This window comes from Homo sapiens, chromosome 8, assembly GCF_000001405.40.
Source record: "Homo sapiens chromosome 8, GRCh38.p14 Primary Assembly".
Lineage (NCBI taxonomy): Eukaryota > Metazoa > Chordata > Mammalia > Primates > Hominidae > Homo > Homo sapiens.
In genome coordinates, this window is record NC_000008.11 from 101882638 (window position 1) to 101901233 (window position 18596).

General features: G+C 38.1%; 1 protein-coding gene across 17 annotated transcripts in view, besides 1 other annotated feature; it reads right to left on the reverse strand.

Annotated features, from left to right (window-relative positions):
• NCALD (neurocalcin delta) overlaps positions 1-18596 on the reverse strand; it is a 438366-nt gene that overhangs the window by 196096 nt on the left and 223674 nt on the right. For 6 of the 17 annotated variants that reach the window (XM_047422315.1, NM_001040626.2, XM_047422317.1 and 3 more), the window contains one exon: positions 4504-4590. The exons of the other annotated variants lie outside the window; for them this stretch is intronic. The gene's annotated coding sequence lies outside the window, so the exon portion shown is untranslated. The remainder of the gene's footprint in view (positions 1-4503; positions 4591-18596) is intronic. 17 annotated transcript variants of the gene reach the window in all.
• Positions 9065-9608: an enhancer, noted in NCBI's record as "NANOG-H3K27ac-H3K4me1 hESC enhancer chr8:102903930-102904473 (GRCh37/hg19 assembly coordinates)". NCBI's record gives its function as "activates a minimal SCP1, AML or CMV promoter by ChIP-STARR-seq in naive H9 embryonic stem cells {active_cell/tissue: H9 hESC(naive)}" and the evidence as "EXISTENCE:reporter gene assay evidence [ECO:0000049][PMID:30033119]".

Consider the following 18596-nt stretch of genomic DNA (forward strand, 5'->3'; position numbering starts at 1 on the left):
GGTTCCTGAAGATTAAAACAGATAATTATTATGCCTCCCTTTGATATAATGAATTACTTACATCAAACCCTCTGACTTTTGCAAACAAGACCTGAAGGTAATCCTCACTGGTGCCCTGGTGTAATTCCACTGATGTCAGTAATACTCTCTATGTAGCTATGCAAACATTGCATCAAGAAGTCTTCCAGCAGACCTTCATAAAAGACAGGCACAGTTGAAAACCTCAAATAAGTTTCCAGGCATGTATTGTTTTCTGTGTTGTAAGTCAGTAATGGCTTTAAGAAGCAATATGAAATAACAACTTTTGAGAATGTGAGAAAGAAATCCATCTCCTTAAATATGTACATTGATTCTAAGATGTGAAACTTTTCTAGATATGCTAAATGTGCAAAATGTATAAAGCATATTAAATATATAAGGTATAATAAGGTCTTTTTGTAAGAAGAAATAGAGGCCAGATGTGGTGGCTCACGTCTATAACTCCAACACTTAGGAAGGCCAAAACAGAAGGACTGCTTAAGGCCATGAGTTCTAGACTAGCCTGGGCAACACAGTGAGACACTCTGACTCGACAAAAAATACAAAAATTAGCTGGGCATGGTGGTGCGCACTTGTAGTCCCTGCTACTCAGGAGGCTGAGGCTTCAGTAAGCCAAGATTGCACCACTGTACTCCAGCCTGGGCAACAGAGTGAGATCCCATTTCAAAAACAAATAAAGAAAATAAAACCAAAGAAATAGACTCTGAAATGCTCTTCCGCTCAGCTCCTTCTCCATCAGTGTTAGACTCTGTGAGTTTCATTTAAGTCTTTGTATTGCTCCCTTCCTCCTCCCCTCACCACTCCAGAATGAGGCACAGGGAGGACAATGGGATCACTATTGTCTCAGAAACAAGAACAAATTAATACAAAGCCTGGTTTCCCTCTCGTTTTCCTCTCTTGAAATTTCTTCGAAGTCTTTGACCGTGATTTGGGTACTATGAAGGACATCTGTCCTAAGCATCCTCTTAGGTCTTCTAGAGTATATGCTGTTATTTAACTAAACAGAAGAATAACCACACTTACATGCAATACAATTTAGATTTGAAATCATGTTTAAATTCTATCTAAAGACCCATACTACTTACTTATAAGCAAAAACTTAGTATAAAACCTATATATTTCCTTATTGGCATATTATCTGCCTGTTCCACTAGAATTTCAGATCCATGGGAACAGGGATTTTGTCTTGGGTATATTGGCTGGGTGAGTAAATGAATATCTTCTCCCTATCAGCAGTGTCATTATACAATTGCAAACTCCTTTCATTTTTACAGAAGACCACAGGACTCATTTCCTGTTATAAACTACTCATGTTGGTTCATTCATTCATTCTCTACTAAAGTCTTTCATGATCTGGCTCCTGCCACCCCTCTAGCTTTCCCCCATAGGATGCCCGCCTTGCTCTCCAGCAATACTAGCTTTGGCTCAATTCTTAGTAAGCTGCATGTTCCCTTCTACCTTAGAACCTCTGCTCTGGCCTTTCTTCTGCCCATCTCCAACACCTTCAGATTTCTGCAGGGAAGCCTTCCCTGATCCCCACTGAGACTAGGTGTGGTACCTGCATTTTATAGTCTCATAGTTCCTTGTTTTTGCTGTTGTTGTTTTCTATCATAGTACTTAACACATTTGTAAAATGTATTTGTGTGATTATTTGATTAACTTCACTCCCAACCCCACTCTTCTCAGCCGCATGCCTTCCTATCCCTATTAATATCCCTGCCACCTAACACAGTGCCTGTCACATAGCAACTGCTCAATAAATATTTATTGAACAAATAAATGAATTATGCTTCTAGAAACATAATCTATTACCAAATATGTAAGTCCGTGTTATACCATATCATTCTTCTCTAGGGCTCAAGTTAGTAGGTACTTAGTCAACATTTGTTGGTTAATTGAAATCATCATTTATCTCCAGCAAACACCATTCTCCTATGTCTGTATGACACTAAACAATTTGTTGCAAAATTGCTGGGAAATAAACTACTCTCTATTTTTTTCTACATACTAATACAAAAGCAGTTTGTTTTTGTTTTTGTTTTTCACCGAATTTATTAGCTGTTTTGGCATTAAGAACGTGACTGGATGGAAAATAGTTGGCAGGGAATCAATTACTCGACTGATCAGTATTTGTCTCTGTGGCTATATTTGAAAACATCTGGAAGAACACTTTAATTATCCTCTGAATATTTGGTGTCTCGTGCTCTCAGCCTCTGAGATAATCTCTCTCCATATTATTCCTAAATGAAAGGTATTCTGTTGACAAAATCAATGTTTTTTGACAGAGGGGAATTTGTGGGACATTGAAAATACAGAATAATGGGCTCCCAGGCTAAAAGGGCTAAAACGCATTCATTCTTTTAAGAGGAGGAGCAAAGAAGTCTTTAGCTTAGAAAACTGCAGAAAAATGAAATTCCATGTAACATCCTATAACTAAGAAGCTAGTCACATAGGGAGCCTTGGGAAGAGTACAGATTTCTTGGGGACCCAGACAAAACCATCCTGACTTAAGGAGGCTAAAGAGCGATATCCAAACAACAGGAAATCAGTAATAATTATAAACCTAGAGTCTATTCATATACCTTGCTTTCAAATAATTTCTTTATATGTATTCTTCCCATCTATGGTTATCTGGATTTCTGCCACTAGGCAATTTTTACTAAATTGTCTGAAATTCTTGGACAAAATCCCAAACAGCCCAGGAAATTTGGGCAGTATTTGCTAAGTCAGGCCATTCTTATGGAAAGCCCCTGTTAGGAAGTTTAACCTCTGTTGAAGAAGCCATCCTCTTCCCTGCCTTGCCCACTACTCTCTCAAGCCCACTAGTAGTCAAGCAGGGAGTGGCTTCTTCACTGCCCCAAGAGCTTTTCTGTCAATTTCTCATCCAAATCATCCTCGTTTGGGTCTGGCAGATGCTGCAAACCTGCAGCATGAACTCTCGCAGTCTCCCTTTGCTCCATGTGAATGAGAGATGAAGTCTAGCTTATTTGGAGCTCACTCTAGCAAGGAATTACCTGCCCCTGAAACAATAAACACAGAGAAGGACCCAGGTGCTGCAGGAGGGACAGAAATGACTAGAAGCCAATAGCATCATAGTGATTATCCACACCTCCATGCCAAGGGGAAGTGTTCTTATGTTAAATCCTACTCAAGCTTTACTGTCTTTAGGCAAAAACACACATTTTCCTATTAGGCTTTAGCTTGATGTCAGAAAGAGCCAAGGAACTAAAGCAATGGCAACTGCCATGTCTCGGGTTGTGATATCCATAAATAGTTCAACCAAATTATCTCAAGAAGAAGGAGCTTCCCAGACTGCCTGATCATTACTAGTTACAATGCACAATTCTATCTTGGCCTCCAGGAGAAATGCAATAGGGCTGAGACTTAGTTCTCAATGCCATGAGGGAAAAAAAACATTAGATTTTGTTTAACGTGACTTCAAATATTTCATTACTCTTCTATAGATCTCATTAGAAGGACTGGACTACCAAATTTGGAATAAAAGCTTTTCACTTTCACTTTCTTGTTACATCCAGGTGAGTCATGTTGCTCAGGTAGTAATTAAACCATAAAGACTTAATGGGGGAAAAGGAAGTGGGATGAAAAGAGCTAAGTCTACTCAAGTTTCATTTGATATCAATGTATCTGCCCTGCCCCCATTTATTTTATTTTCTCCATTTGTTCCTCATACACAACTGTTTGACCAAGTAAATATCAGATTAATCTTCATGACTTTTTTCCAAACAGGCACAAAACATTACTGAGGTCTAAGCCATATGACTTTGCCTGCAATTCTTCACTAGCTCTCGTCTGGGGCCATTAACTTATTTTGAAAAGTTTCCAAGAAATTCAGTAGATTTCCCTTCCTGAAAAGCCAATTTCCTAACTGTTCAATGAGATGGCTTTTGAGACTCATATCAACAAATTAGGAAAGTAATAATGTTCCTATTCTAACAGGAAATTCACTATTGCTGGTGCTGCTGCCCTAATTATACTATAATAGAATTTCAAAAGAATCTTTTTTGAATTAGAAAACATCCCCTCTACTTGCTGCATAATATCCTCTTCGGTCCTCTATACTAAATGAGTCCATTTGGAAAGTAAGGAGGGGTATAAATTACCTTTTTTCCAGGAATCAACAAGCCAGGTTTTTACTCCATTATCATATGTCCTGTTTTGTTTTACTAAATCTCTTGTACTTAAATAAGGTTTCCGCTTAATCAGTCACCAGAAAAGAGAGCAGGATTTTTTTTTAATTAAAATGGGTGCATAGCTTTCTTTTCAGTAACATACACATTCATCAAGAGTTAAAAATGGAAATGGCTACCCCATGACAAAGCTTATTTTTCTACTTAGCAAATACAAATATATAAACACACACAAACCTACCTAGGATACAGCTTTGCATTTTGAATCGTAATTTACACAATTTAACCCTTTCAAGAGATTAAAAAACTAACTCACAGTATGCAGTCACTCAGTGCCTGGGATCTCGGGGCCTTCCTCGGTATCACGACAGATTTTAACACCAGGAGATCAGATGCCTTGCAACTGAGATCACTCATAATTAGCGAATATTGTACTTGAACATTTGACAGCTCTGTAAAAGTTTTGGTGAGACTGTCACTTTTATTTCTTTTGTAGTTGCCTTTGCAAACAGGAAACAGGAAACACACCTACAAGAACACTGACGTGTATCAGCCTAATTGGTTTTTGGTTCAAAGTACTCAGGAATGAGTCTTGTAACCCAGGAATAACAGGCACAGTCTCCAAAGAGTAGGAATCAGCTCTGAGCATCTCACAGTCCACTTCTCTGGACAGATGCTACGCAGGCAATTTATTACAGGGAGAAACAGGCATGCTGGGTAACATTCAGGCCTTATGGTCTTAATTCAGGAAGGATTATAAACATTAGAATAAATGAACTTAAATATAAATATATACATATACATATATATTAAATACATTATTTAAATATATATCAATTATTTAAAAGAATAATATGTTAAAATAATGTAATGTATGTAATTTTTCCTGGAATGTATATAGAAACTATCACTTAGGAATCATTTGGTTACAAGTAACAGAAAACCCAGCTCAAACTCACTTATACAAATAAATAACAAAATAAGGAAATGTTTGTTTCATTGAGCTGGGGAAAAAACCCAAAAGTAAGACTGGTTTTGGGAAACCATAAGTTTGTTGTATCATTTGATTCTAGACAATTCTCTTGGTACAGGTATTCTTTGTGAATTGGCTTCACCCTCAGGCTGCTCCCCTCCTGGCGCAATAAAAATGGCTGTAGCAGTTCAAGATCATATATCTATCATCCAAGAGGACAGTGTCAGCGTCATGGCAGTCCCAGTGAAAGTTCTGAGGTCATTCTGAGGGCCCATTGCTGAATCGGCCACTGTATTTTGGGGTCTCATATATCAAATGGCTTAAACTAGTCAAGGCTTATCCCTGGAGGTAAGAGTAGGGTCAATCCAAACAAACATCACACAGAGAGACATTGGGGTTAGAGGAAAGGGAAAGTGGGAAGTGGATCAGCAAATGTCCACCACAACAGTGCTTGACAATAATCTGAAGACTGATATTTGAGGATATGTGTCTATAAAAACCCTAGTACTCAGGTGATCTGCAGATGTCCAAAAGAGAATGAGTGGAAGTTCAATAGATATTGATGACCCAAGGCTCTATATTTAGCTGGACTTTCTTTTTTATTTATTTATTTATTTATTTATTTTTGCAGAGTTCGGGAGACAGAGTTTCACTCTGTCACCCAGATGGGAGTGCAGTAGAGCAATAATAGCTCAGTGTAACCTCAAACTTCTATGCTAAAGCAATCCTCCTGCCTCAGCCTCCAGAACAGCTGGGACTGCAGGGATGCCCCAACATGCCTGGCTAACCTTTTTTTTTTAATAGAGATGAGGGCTTGCTATGTTGCCCAGGCTGGTCTCAAACTCCAGGCCTCAAGTGATCCTACCACTTCAGTGTCTCAAAGTGCTGAGATAACAGGCACAAACCACCACACCCAGCCTGAACTTTCTATTAACATTGGATTTGCTCTCTGAGAAAATAGTTCAGAATATTTCCACTCTGTTTATTAAATACATTTTACAGTGTATGAAGCACTCTTCCATTTGATCTTCTATTTTGTCATGAAAACAACCCTGTCAGCAGTGGGCAGGCATCCCCACTGAAAGCTTAGACAGTGGGGAAGACATTGCCAGTTGCCTATCCAATAACAAGTCTACCCTTTTCCCTTACAGAATCTTGATTTTGTCCAGGGCAGGAATTTGCCATGTTATGATTCAGCTAAGAATGATGGCCAGGTGGAACAATTTTGTTCTGGAGATGCAAACAAGCTGAAGTTACTAGGTAGGGCTCCTGGAAAGGTACTTTCAAAGGACCCTGGCATTCACTTTTTGTTCTTTGCCCTTCTTCTTCATCATGCCTGCAACTCTGATGCAAAGCTGGAGGAAGATTTATCTCTTGCAGTCATGAAGTCACAAGCATGAAAACAAAAGCCACATGCTGTGAACGAAGCCTAAGCTGAAAGAAGGAGTCACTGCACTGGGCCTGGCTTGCCTGCTTCTAGGCTGTTACATGAGAAAAAGTAAATCCTATTTGGTTAAGCCACTGTAGAAGGATTCTTGTTACAGGCCACTGCACATAATCCTAACTGATAGGAAGAGGTTTCTCAACCAGGTGATGACAGATCAAGGCTTAAACACAAGCCTTTCGACTCCCTGTCCGGTGATATTTCCAATAAATTGCATTGCCTCTTTAAAAGCAGAACCCATACTCTGAATACTATACAAACAGGCATTTTAAATGTATGCTTTTTTTCTCAACAAATAGCTTATTTAAATGATCTGAGACATAGCTCAAATGGTGAGAGGAGATTCATTGCTTTTTGTTTGTTTTACTTTTTAACATGTAGCACTCAAACATTTGCAAAATTTCTAAATATCCTTGGCTACAGCAAAGGAAAGCTAGTTCATTTTACCAAAATTTATTTCGAGGCTACCTAAGGAAGAATTAGCCAGCTTCCCACATCTTGTTGTGAATGAGGGTTTTCTTCCTTGACTTTCTCATCCACCTGGCTATTACAAGATAACAGGGTTCTCATGAAGTGTGGAATAACTGAGCCAAAAGTAAAGGAGGAACTATACCCAAAGATTAATTCCAGAGGAATTAAAGATTTAGTTGTAAAAAGCAAAAGGTTTAAACTTTTAGAAGAAAATACAGGGAAACATCCTTCTGATCTTTAAATGGGAGAGAAGTTCTTAAGGCACAAAAGTGTTAACCATAAAAGGAAGGCAAAGTTGATAAATTTGCAGCCGTAATATGAAGAGCTTGCATTCATCCAAAGGTACAATGAAGAAGGCAAAAACACAAGCCAATATGTGAGACAAGTTTGCAACACTTGAAATGAACAAAAGACCAGTATTCAGGTTATAAAAAGAAATGTTATATATCAGTCATAAAAAGACAACACAATAGAAAAAACATAAGCAGAAGATCTGACAGGCACATCACAGAAGAGAAAAACATGAATGGTGAATGGATGTAGGAAAAGATGAGCAACCTCATCTTTAATTAAGAAAATGCAAATTAAACTGATAGTGGGGGTAGAAATTGATATAACCACTTGGAACAATTTAACCTTCTCTTATGAAGTAGAATGCTCTCATACCCTCCCTCTGAGCAAATCACTCCTATGTATATTCTCTAGTGCTATGGTTTGAATGACAGTGTCCCCTCTAAAATTTATATGAAAACTTAATCCCCAATGCAACAGTATTGAGAGATATGGCCTTGGGGGTGGTGATTAAGTCATGAGGGCTCCACCCTCACAACTGGGATTAGCACACTTATAAAAGGGCTCCAGGTTGAAGGGAGTGCCCTCTTGCCCCTCTGCCCTTCTGCCATGTTGAGGACATAGCATTTATCCACTCCTGAGAAGGCAACACTCTTGGAAGCAGAGACTAGGCTTCACGAGACATTAAACTTCCTGCATCTTAATCTTGGACTTCCCAGCCTCCAAAATGGTGAGAGATAAATTTCTATTAGTTATAAATTACCCAGTCTCAGGTATTTAGTTATAGCAGTACAGACAGACTGAGACATCCAGAGAAACTCTTGCACACTTTCCCAGAAGACATGCACAAACATGACTTTTTCGACATAGCAAAAAGCTAGATTTAACACAAATGTCCATCAACAAGAGAACAAGGAAATAACTTGAGTGATAGTCATTAAATGGAATATTAGATAACATGGAATATCGATAAACCACAGCAGCATGCAATAGCTTGGGTACACCTTAGAAACATAATGAATGAAAGAAAGCAAGTAACAGCCAACTACATACAAATGGTATCTTTTTCACATATAAATAAGCCCAAGAATAGCAAGAATGAACAATATTTGTGTTGAGGCAAACCCATATGTAATTTTTTTTTTACATTTCCACATTATTTTATCACATATGTACATCCATGTTACCACCACTACAATCAAGATAGAGAAGTGTTCCATCACCACACAGAACTCCATCCTACTACCATTTTATAGTTATACTCACCCCTTGTGCCCCCATTCCTCATCCTTGACAATCACTAATCTGTTCTCCATCTTTATAATTTTGTCATTCCTAGAATATTAGTAAATACAATCATACAGTATGTGACATTTGGATATTTTTCACTCAGCATAATGTCCTTTAAATTCATCTAAGTTGTTGCATGTATCAGTGGTGTTTGTTCCTTTTCATTGCTGAGTAGTATTCCATTGTATGAAAGTACTACAGTTTGCAGGGGAGGAGCCAAGATGGCCAAATAGGAACAGCTCCGGTCTACAGCTCCCAGCGTGAGCGACGCAGAAGACGGGTGATTTCTGCATTTCCATCTGAGGTATCGGGTTCATCTCACTAGGGAGTGCCAGACAGTGGGCGCAGGCCAGTGGGTGCGTGCACCGAGTGCGAGCCGAAGCAGGGCGAGGCATTGCCTCACTTGGGAAGCGCAAGGGGTCAGGGAGTTCCCTTTCCAAGTCAAAGAAAGGGGTGATGGACGTACCTGGAAAATCAGGTCACTCCCACCCAAATATTGCACTTTTCAGACCAGCTTAAAAAACGGAGCACCACGAGATTATATCCCACACCTGGCTCGGAGGGTCCTACGCCCACGGAATCTCGCTGATTCCTACCACAGCAGTCTGAGATCAAACTGCAAGGCGGCAGCGAGGCTGGGGGAGGGGCGCCCGCAATTGCCCAGGCTTGCTTAAGTAAACAAAGCAGCCAGGAAGCTCGAACTGGGTGGGGCCCACCACAGCTCAAGGAGGCCTGGCTGCCTCTGTAGGCTCCACCTCTGGGGGCAGGGCACAGACAAACAAAAAGACAGCAGTAACCTCTGCAGACTTAAATGTCCCTGTCTGACAGCTTTGAAGAGAGCAGTGGTTCTCCCAGCACACAGCTGGAGATCTGAGAACCGGCAGACTGCCTCCTCAAGTGGGTCCCTGACCCCTGACCCCCGAGCAGCCGAACTGGGAGGCACCCCCAAGCAGGGGCACACTGACACCTCACACGGCAGGGTATTCCAACAGACCTGCAGCTGAGGGTCCTGTCTGTTAGAAGGAAAACTAACAAACAGAAAGGACATCCACACCAAAAACCCATCTGTACATCACCATTATCAAAGACCAAAAGTAGATAAAACCACAAAGACGGGGAAAAAACAAAACAGAAAAACTGGAAACTCTAAAACGCAGAGTGCCTCTCCTCCTCCAAAGGAACGCAGTTCCTCACCAGCAACGGAACAAAGCTGGATGGAGAATGACTTTGACAAATTGAGAGAAGAAGGCTTCAGACGATCAAACTACTCCGAGCTACAGGAGGAAATTCAAACCAAAGGCAAAGAAGTTGAACACTTTGAAAAAAATATAGAAGAATGTATAACTAGAATAACCAATACAGAGAAGTGCTTAAAGGAGCTGATGAAGCTGAAAACCAAGGCTCGAGAACTACGTGAAGAATGCAGAAGCCTCAGGAGCTGATGCGATCAACTGGAAGAAAGGGTATCAGCAATGGAAGATGAAATGAATGGAATGAAGCGAGAAGGGAAGTTTAGAGAAAAAAGAATACAAAGAAATAAGCAAAGCCTCCAAGAAATATGGGACTATGTGAAAAAACCAAATCTACATCTGATTGGTGTACCAGAAAGTGATGGGGAGAATGGAACCAAGCTGGAAAACACTCTGCAGGATATTATCCAGGAGAACTTCCCCAATCTAGCAAGGCAGGCCAACATTCAGATTCAGGAAATACAGAGAACGCCACAAAGATACTCCTCGAGAAGAGCAACTCCAAGACACATAATTGTCAGATTCACCAAAGTTGAAATGAAGGAAAAAATGTTAAGGGCAGCCAGAGAGAAAGGTCAGGTTACCCACAAAGGGAAGCCCATCAGACTAACAGCGGATCTCTCAGCAGAAACCCTACAAGCCAGAAGAGAGTGGGGGCCAATATTCAACATTCTTAAAGAAAAGAATTGTCAACCCAGAATTTCATATCTAGCCAAACTAAGCTTCATAAGTGAAGGAGAAATAAAATACTTTACAGACAAGCAAATGCTGAGAGATTTTGTCACCACCAGGCCTGACCTAAAAGAGCTCCTGAAGGAAGCGCTAAACATGGAAAGGAACAACCAGTACCAGCCACTGCAAAATCATGCCAAAATGTAAAGACCATCGAGACTAGGAAGAAACTGCATCAACTAACGAGCAAAATAACCAGCTAACATCATAATGACAGGATCAAATTCACACATAACAATATTAACTTTAAATGTAAATGGACTAAATGCTCCAATTAAAAGACACAGACTGGCAAATTGGATAAAGAGTCAAGACCCATCAGTGTGCTGTATTCAGGAAACCCATCTCACGTGCAGAGACACACATAGGCTCAAAATAAAAGGATGGAGGAAGATCTACCAAGCAAATGGAAAACAAAAAAAGGCAGGGGTTGCAATCCTAGTCTCTGATAAAACAGACTTTAAACCAACAAACATCAAAAGAGACAAAGAAGGCCATTACATAATGGTAAAGGGATCAATTCAACAAGAAGAGCTAACTATCCTAAATATATATGCACCCAATACAGGAGCACCCAGATTCATAAAGCAAGTCCTGAGTGACCTACAAAGAGACGTAGACTCCCACACATTAATAATGGTAGACTTTAACACCCCACTGTCAACATTAGACAGATCAATGAGACAGAAAGTCAACAAGGATACCCAGGAATTGAACTAAGCTCTCCACCAAGTGGACCTAATAGACATCTACAGAACTCTCCACCCCAAATCAACAGAATATACATTTTTTTCAGCACCACCACACCTATTCCAAAATTGACCACATACTTGGAAGTAAAGCTCTCCTCAGCAAATGTAAAAGAACAGAAATTATAACAAACTATCTCTCAGACCACAGTGCAATCAAACTAGAACTCAGGATTAAGAATCTCACTCAAAGCCGCTCAACTACATGGAAACTGAACAACCTGCTCCTGAATGACTACTGGGTACATAACGAAATGAAGGCAGAAATAAAGATGTTCTTTGAAACCAACGAGAACAAAGACACAACATACCAGAATCTCTGGGACACATTCAAAGCAGTGTGTAGAGGGAAATTTATAGCACTAAATGCCCACAAGAGAAAGCAGGAAAGATCCAAAATTGACACCCTAACATCACAATTAAAAGAACTAGAAAAGCAAAAGCAAACACATTCAAAAGCTAGCAGAAGGCAAGAAATAACTAAAATCAGAGCAGAACTGAAGGAAATAGAGACACAAAAAACCCTTCAAAAAATCAAGGAATCCAGGAACTGGTTTTTTGAAAGGATCAACAAAATTGATAGACTGCTAGCAAAACTAATAAAGAAAAAAAGAGAGAAGAATCAAATAGACACAATAAAAAATGATAAAGGGGGTATCACCACAGATCCCACAGAAATACAAACTACCATCAGAGAATACTACAAACACCTCTACGGAAATAAACTAGAAAATCTAGAAGAAATGGATAAATTCCTCAACACATACACTCTCCCGAGACTAAACCAGGAAGAAGTTGAATCTCTGAATAGACCAATAACAGGATCTGAAATTGTGGCAATAATCAATAGTTTACCAACCAAAAAGATTCCAGGACCAGATGGATTCACAGCCGAATTCTACCAGAGGTACAAGGAGGAACTGGTACCATTCCTTCTGAAACTACTCCAATCAATAGAAAAAGAGGGAATCCTCCCTAACTCATTTTATGAGGCCAGCATCATTCTGATACCAAAGCCGGGCAGAGACACAACCAAAAAAGAGAATTTTATACCAATATCCTTGATGAACATTGATGCAAAAATCCTCAATAAAATACTAGCAAAACGAATCCAGCAGCACATCAACAAGCTTATCCACCATGATCAAGTGGGCTTCATCCCTGGGATGCAAGGCTGGTTCGATATACGCAAATCAATAAATGTAATCCAGCATATAAACAGAGCCAAAGACAAAAACCACATGATTATGTCAATAGATGGAGAAAAAGCCTTTGACAAAATTCAACAACCCTTCATGCTAAAAACTCTCAATAAATTAGGTATTGATGGGACATATTTCAAAATAATAAGAGCTATCTATGACAAACCCACAGCCAATATCATACTGAATGGGCAAAAACTGGAAGCATTCCCTTTGAAAACTGGCACAAGACAGGGATGCCCTCTCTCACCACTCCTGTTCAATATAGTGTTGGAAGTTCTGGCCAGGGCAATTAGGCAGGAGAAGGAAATAAAGGGTATTCAATTAGGAAAAGAGGAAGTCAAATTGTCCCTGTTTGCAGATGACATGATTGTATATCTAGAAAACCCCACTGTCTCAGCCCAAAATCTCCTTAAGCTGATAAGCAACTTCAGCAAAGTCTCAGGATACAAAATCAATGTGCAAAAATCACAAGCATTCTTATACACCAACAACAGACAAAGAGAGAGCCAAATCATGAGTGAACTCCCATTCACAACTGCTTCAAAGAGAACAAAATACTTAGGAATCCAACTTACAAGGGATGTGAAGGACCTCTTCAAGGCGAACTACAAACCACTGCTCAAGGAAATAAAAGAGGATACAAACAAATGGAAGAACATTCCATGCTCATGGGTAGGAAGAATCAATATCGTGAAAATGGCCATACTGCCCAAGGTAATTTATAGATTCAGTGCCATCCCCATCAAGCTACCAATGACTTTCTTCACAGAATTGGAAAAAACTACTTTAAAGTTCATATGGAACCAAAAAAGAGCCCGCATCGCCAAGTCAACCCTAAGCCAAAAGAACAAAGCTGGAGGCGTCACACTACCTGACTTCAAACTATACTACAAGGCTACAGTAACCAAAACAGCATGGTACTGGTACCAAAACAGAGATATAGATCAATGGAACAGAACAGAGGCCTCAGAAGTAATGCCACATATCTACAACCATCTGATCTTTGACAAACCTGAGAAAAACAAGCAATGGGGAAAGGATTCCCTATTTAATAAGTGGTGCTGGGAAAACTGGCTAGCCATATGTAGAAAGCTGAAACTGGATCCCTTCCTTACACCTTATACAAAAATCAATTCAAGATGGATTAAAGATTTAAACGTTAGACCTAAAACCATAAAAACCCTAGAAGAAAACCTAGGCATTGCCATTCAGGACATAGGCATGGGCAAGGACTTCATGTCTAAAACACCAAAAGCAATGGCAACAAAAGACAAAATTGACAAATGGGATCTAATGAAACTAAAGAGCTTCTGCACAGCAAAAGAAACTACCATCAGAGTAAACAGGCAACCTACAAAATGGGAGAAAATTTTTGCAACCTACTCACCTGACAAAGGGCTAATATCCAGAATCTACAATGAACTCAAACAAATTTACAACAGAAAAACAAACAACCCCATCAAAAAGTGGGTGAAGGACATGAACAGACGCTTCTCAAAAGAAGACATTTATGCAGCCAAAAAACACATGAAAAAATGCTCATCATCACTGGCCATCAGAGAAATGCAAATCAAAACCACAATGAGATACCATCTCACACCAGTTAGAATGGCAATCATTAAAAAGTCAGGAAACAACAGGTGCTGGAGAGGATGTGGAGAAATAGGAACACTTTTACACTGTTGGTGGGACTGTAAACTAGTTCAACCATTGTGGAAGTCAGTGTGGCGATTCCTCAGGGATCTAGAACTAGAAATACCATTTGACCCAGCCATCCCATTACTGGGTATATACCCAAAGGACTATAAATCATGCTGCTATAAAGACACATGCACACGTATGTTTATTGCGGCATTATTCACAATAGCAAAGACTTGGAACCAACCCAAATGTCCAACAATGATAGACTGGATTAAGAAAATGTGGCACATATACACCATGGAATACTATGCAGCCATAAAAAATGATGAGTTCATGTCCTTTGCAGGGACATGGATGAAATTGGAAATCATCATTCTCAGTAAACTATCGCAAGAACAAAAAACCAAACACCGCATATTCTCAGTAATAGGTGGGAATTTAACAATGAGATCACATGGACACAGGAAGCGGAATATCACACTCTGGGGACTGTGGTGGGGTGGGGGGAGGGGGGAGGGATAGCATTGGGAGATATACCTAATGCTAGATGACGAGTTAGTGGGTGCAGTGCACCAGCATGGCACATGTATACATATGTAACTAACCTGCACAATGTGCACATGTACCCTAAAACTTAAAGTATAATAAAAAAAAAAGAAAGTACTACAGTTTGCTTAACCACTCACCTATTGTAGGACATTTTGTTTGTTTCCAGTGTTGGGCTATTAAAAATAAAGCTGCTAGGAACAATTATGTACAGGCTTTGTGTAGATAAAGTTTTCACATTCCAAAGTTTATCTGGAATAAGTGTCCAGGAGAGTGTTTCTGGGTCACATGGTAAATGTATGTTTAGTTTTAAAGAAACCACTAAACTATTTTCCAGAGTGACTCTAGCATTTTAACCTCCAGCATTGCATGGTAATTCCATTTTTTTGCATCCTCACCAGCATTTGACATTGATATGGTTTGACTGTGTCCCACCCCAAATCTCATCTTGAATTGTAGTTCCCATAATTCCGTGTTGTAGGAGGGACCAGGTGGAAATAATCGAATCACAGGGGCGGTTCCCCCAATGTGTTCTCATGATAATGAGTGAGTTCTCACAAGATCTGATGGTTTTGTCAGGGGCTTCCCCCTTTGCTGAGCACATATTCTTCTCCTCGATGCCACCATGTGAAGAAGGACATGTTTGCTTCCCCTTCAGCCATGATTGGAAGTTTCCTGAGGCCTCCCCAGTCATGTTGAACTGTGAATCAATTAAACTTCTTTCCTTTATAAATTGCCCAGTCTCAGGTATGTCTTTATTAGCAGTGTGAGAACAGACTAATACAGGCATTATCACTATTTTTATTTTAGCTGTTCTAATAGGTGTGTGGTGCTATCTCATCATGGCATTCATTTGCATTTCCCCAGTAGCTAGGGATGCTGAACATCTTTTCATGAGCTTATTTGCCATCCAAATATCATTTACAATAAGATATCTCTTTTGCCCATTCCCTCATTGGATTTTTGTTTTTTTAAAAAAATGTTGAGTTTGGAGTTCTTTAATCTAGGTACGTGTTTTGCAAACATTTTCTCCTAGTCTATAGCTTCTTTTCATCCTTCTAACACAGTTCTTCATAGAACAAACATTTTAAATTTGGATGAAGTCCAATTTATTGACTTTTTTTCTTTTATAGATCATGCTGTTGATATCATGTTTAGGAACTCTTCAACAGTCCATAGGTATTGAAGATTTTCTGGTATGTTTTCTTTTACAAGTTTTCTAGTTTTATGTTTTATTTTAAGTGTATGATCTATTTTGAGTTGCTTTTTAAGTTGTGGGGTGATGAATATGTGACTGTTTTCAAGTTCTCTGTTCTGTCCTATGTATCACTCTCTTTGCTAATTCCACACAGTCTTGACTACGATAGCTATACTAATTTTGAAATTAGGTTCAGTGATTTCTCCTACTTTATTTTTCCTTTTTGAAATTATTTTAGACATTCTAGTTGCCTTACTTTTGCATATAAATTTTAGAATAATCTTATATATGTCTCCAAAATTCTTGTTGGAATTTTTATAAGAATTTCATTAAACTTGAATCTGAATATCATTTTGGGGAGAACTGACATCTTTACTAAGTTGACTCTTCCAATCCACAAACACAAATCCAATCCACATTTCTCTACTATGTAGATACTCTTTGATTACTTCTATTGGCATTTTGTAGTTTTCAGCATATAAATCCCATAAATGTTTCATTAGATATACACACATGTATTCCATGTTTTTGAGATTGTAAATGATATTGTATAATTAATTTTTATATTCATGTGTACATTGCTAGTATATAAAAGTGTAATTGATTTTGATATGTTTATCTTACATCCTGCAACCTAACTAAACTCATTTATTAGTTCTAAGAGGTTTTTTCTTTATAGATTCCATTGAATTTTTCTAGTAGACAATCGTGTTGCCTGCAAATAGGAATGGTTTTATTTCTTCCTTTTTCCTTTCTGATTTGTATGGATTTTATTTCCTCTTCTCTATTGCATGTCAAACTTTCAGTACTATATTGAATAGGAGTGGTGAGAGCAGTCATCCTTACCTGATCTTATGGAGAAAGAATTCAATCTTTTACTATTAAGTACAATGTTAGCTATAGGCGTTTTCATAGATACTCTTTATCAATTTGAGGGAGATTCCTTCTATTCTTATTTCTCTAAGTTTTTGCCATGAATGTTGTTTCATTTTGTCAAATGGGTTTCTGTACATCAATTAGTATGATTGTGATTTTTTCTTTAGACTGTTTATATAGTGAATTACATTGAGGATTTTCAAATATTGAACCATTCTTTTATCCCTAGAATAAATATATGGTTATGGCATATAATTACCTTTATATATTACTGAACACTATTTATCAATATTTTTAGGATTCTCACATCTATCTTTATAAGAGTAGTTAGTCTCTAGTTTTCTTTTATTGTGCTTTTTCTAGTTTTGGTATCAAAATAATTTCAGCTTCATAAAATGAATTGGGAAATATTTCCTCATCTTTTATTTTCTAGAAGAGGTTGTAGAGAATTGGTATTAATTATTCTTTAAATGTCTTATGGAATTTTCTAGAGAAACCATCTGGACCTGGAACTTTCTGTTTTGGGAGTTTCTAAATTACTAATTCAATTTCCTCAGTTACAAGACTATCAAAATTATCTATTTTATATTGTATGAATTGTGGTAGTTTGTGCTTTCTGGAAAATTGCTTAATTTCATATAAGTTGTCAAATGTGTAGAGTTATTTGTAGAATGTCCTTATTATTCTCTTTGATGTCTGCAGGTCTGTAGTGATGTCCCCTTTGTAATTCCAGATATTGGCAATATATATCTTCTTTTTTCTTTGTCAGTGTTGCTGAAGGTTTATCAATTTTCTTTTCAAAGAACTAGCCTGTTTATTTTCTTGTTTTTCTCCTTGTAGTTTTATTAATTTCTGCTTTTATCTTTATTATATCCTTTCTTATGCTTGCTTTGGGTATATTTGGCTCTTTTTCTAGTTTCTTAAAAAACTAGTTTCTTCAGATAGGAGCTCAGATTATCAATTTGAGACTTTCCTCTTTTCAAATGTAAGCATTATATTAGTGCTATAAATTTTCCTCTCAGAACTGCTTTAGCTGAGTCACATAAATTTTGATGTTGTATTTTCATTTTCATTCACTTTAACGTATTTTTTTATTTCTTTGAAACTTTCTTTTTGACCTACAGATTCTATTTGAAAGTTTGTTGTTTATTTCCAACTGTTTGGAGATTTTCCTGCCATCTTTCTGTTGGGGATATCTATCTTGATTTGATTATAGCCAGAGAATACACTTTGTATAATTTCAATTCTTTTAAATTTGTTGAGGTTTGTTTTATGGTTTATGGTATATTTTGGTATACATTTTGTTAGTCAATTCTTCTGTTGTTGGGTGGATTGTATAAATATAAATTAGATCTAGTTGATTGATAATGTTATGGTCTTCTCTATGTTTGCTGGTTTTCTGTCTAGTTGTTCTATCAGTTATTGAGAGAAGTGTGTTGAGGTTTTTAACTCTTATTATGAATTTGCCTATTTCTTTTTTCAGTTCTATCAGTTTTGTTTCACATACTTTGCAGTTCACTTTTTTGGGTATATATTTAGGGTTTGCATGCAAAATATGTATGTTTGCTATGTTGTTTTGGTAGATTGGCCCTTTTATCATTATATAATATCTCTCTCTGTCCTTGGTAATTTTCTTTTCTCTAAAGTCTCCTTTAACATTCATATAGCTATTCCTGCTTTTTAAAAAATTAATATTTACATTAAAACATTTTTTCATTCTGTAATTTTTACCCTCCTATATTG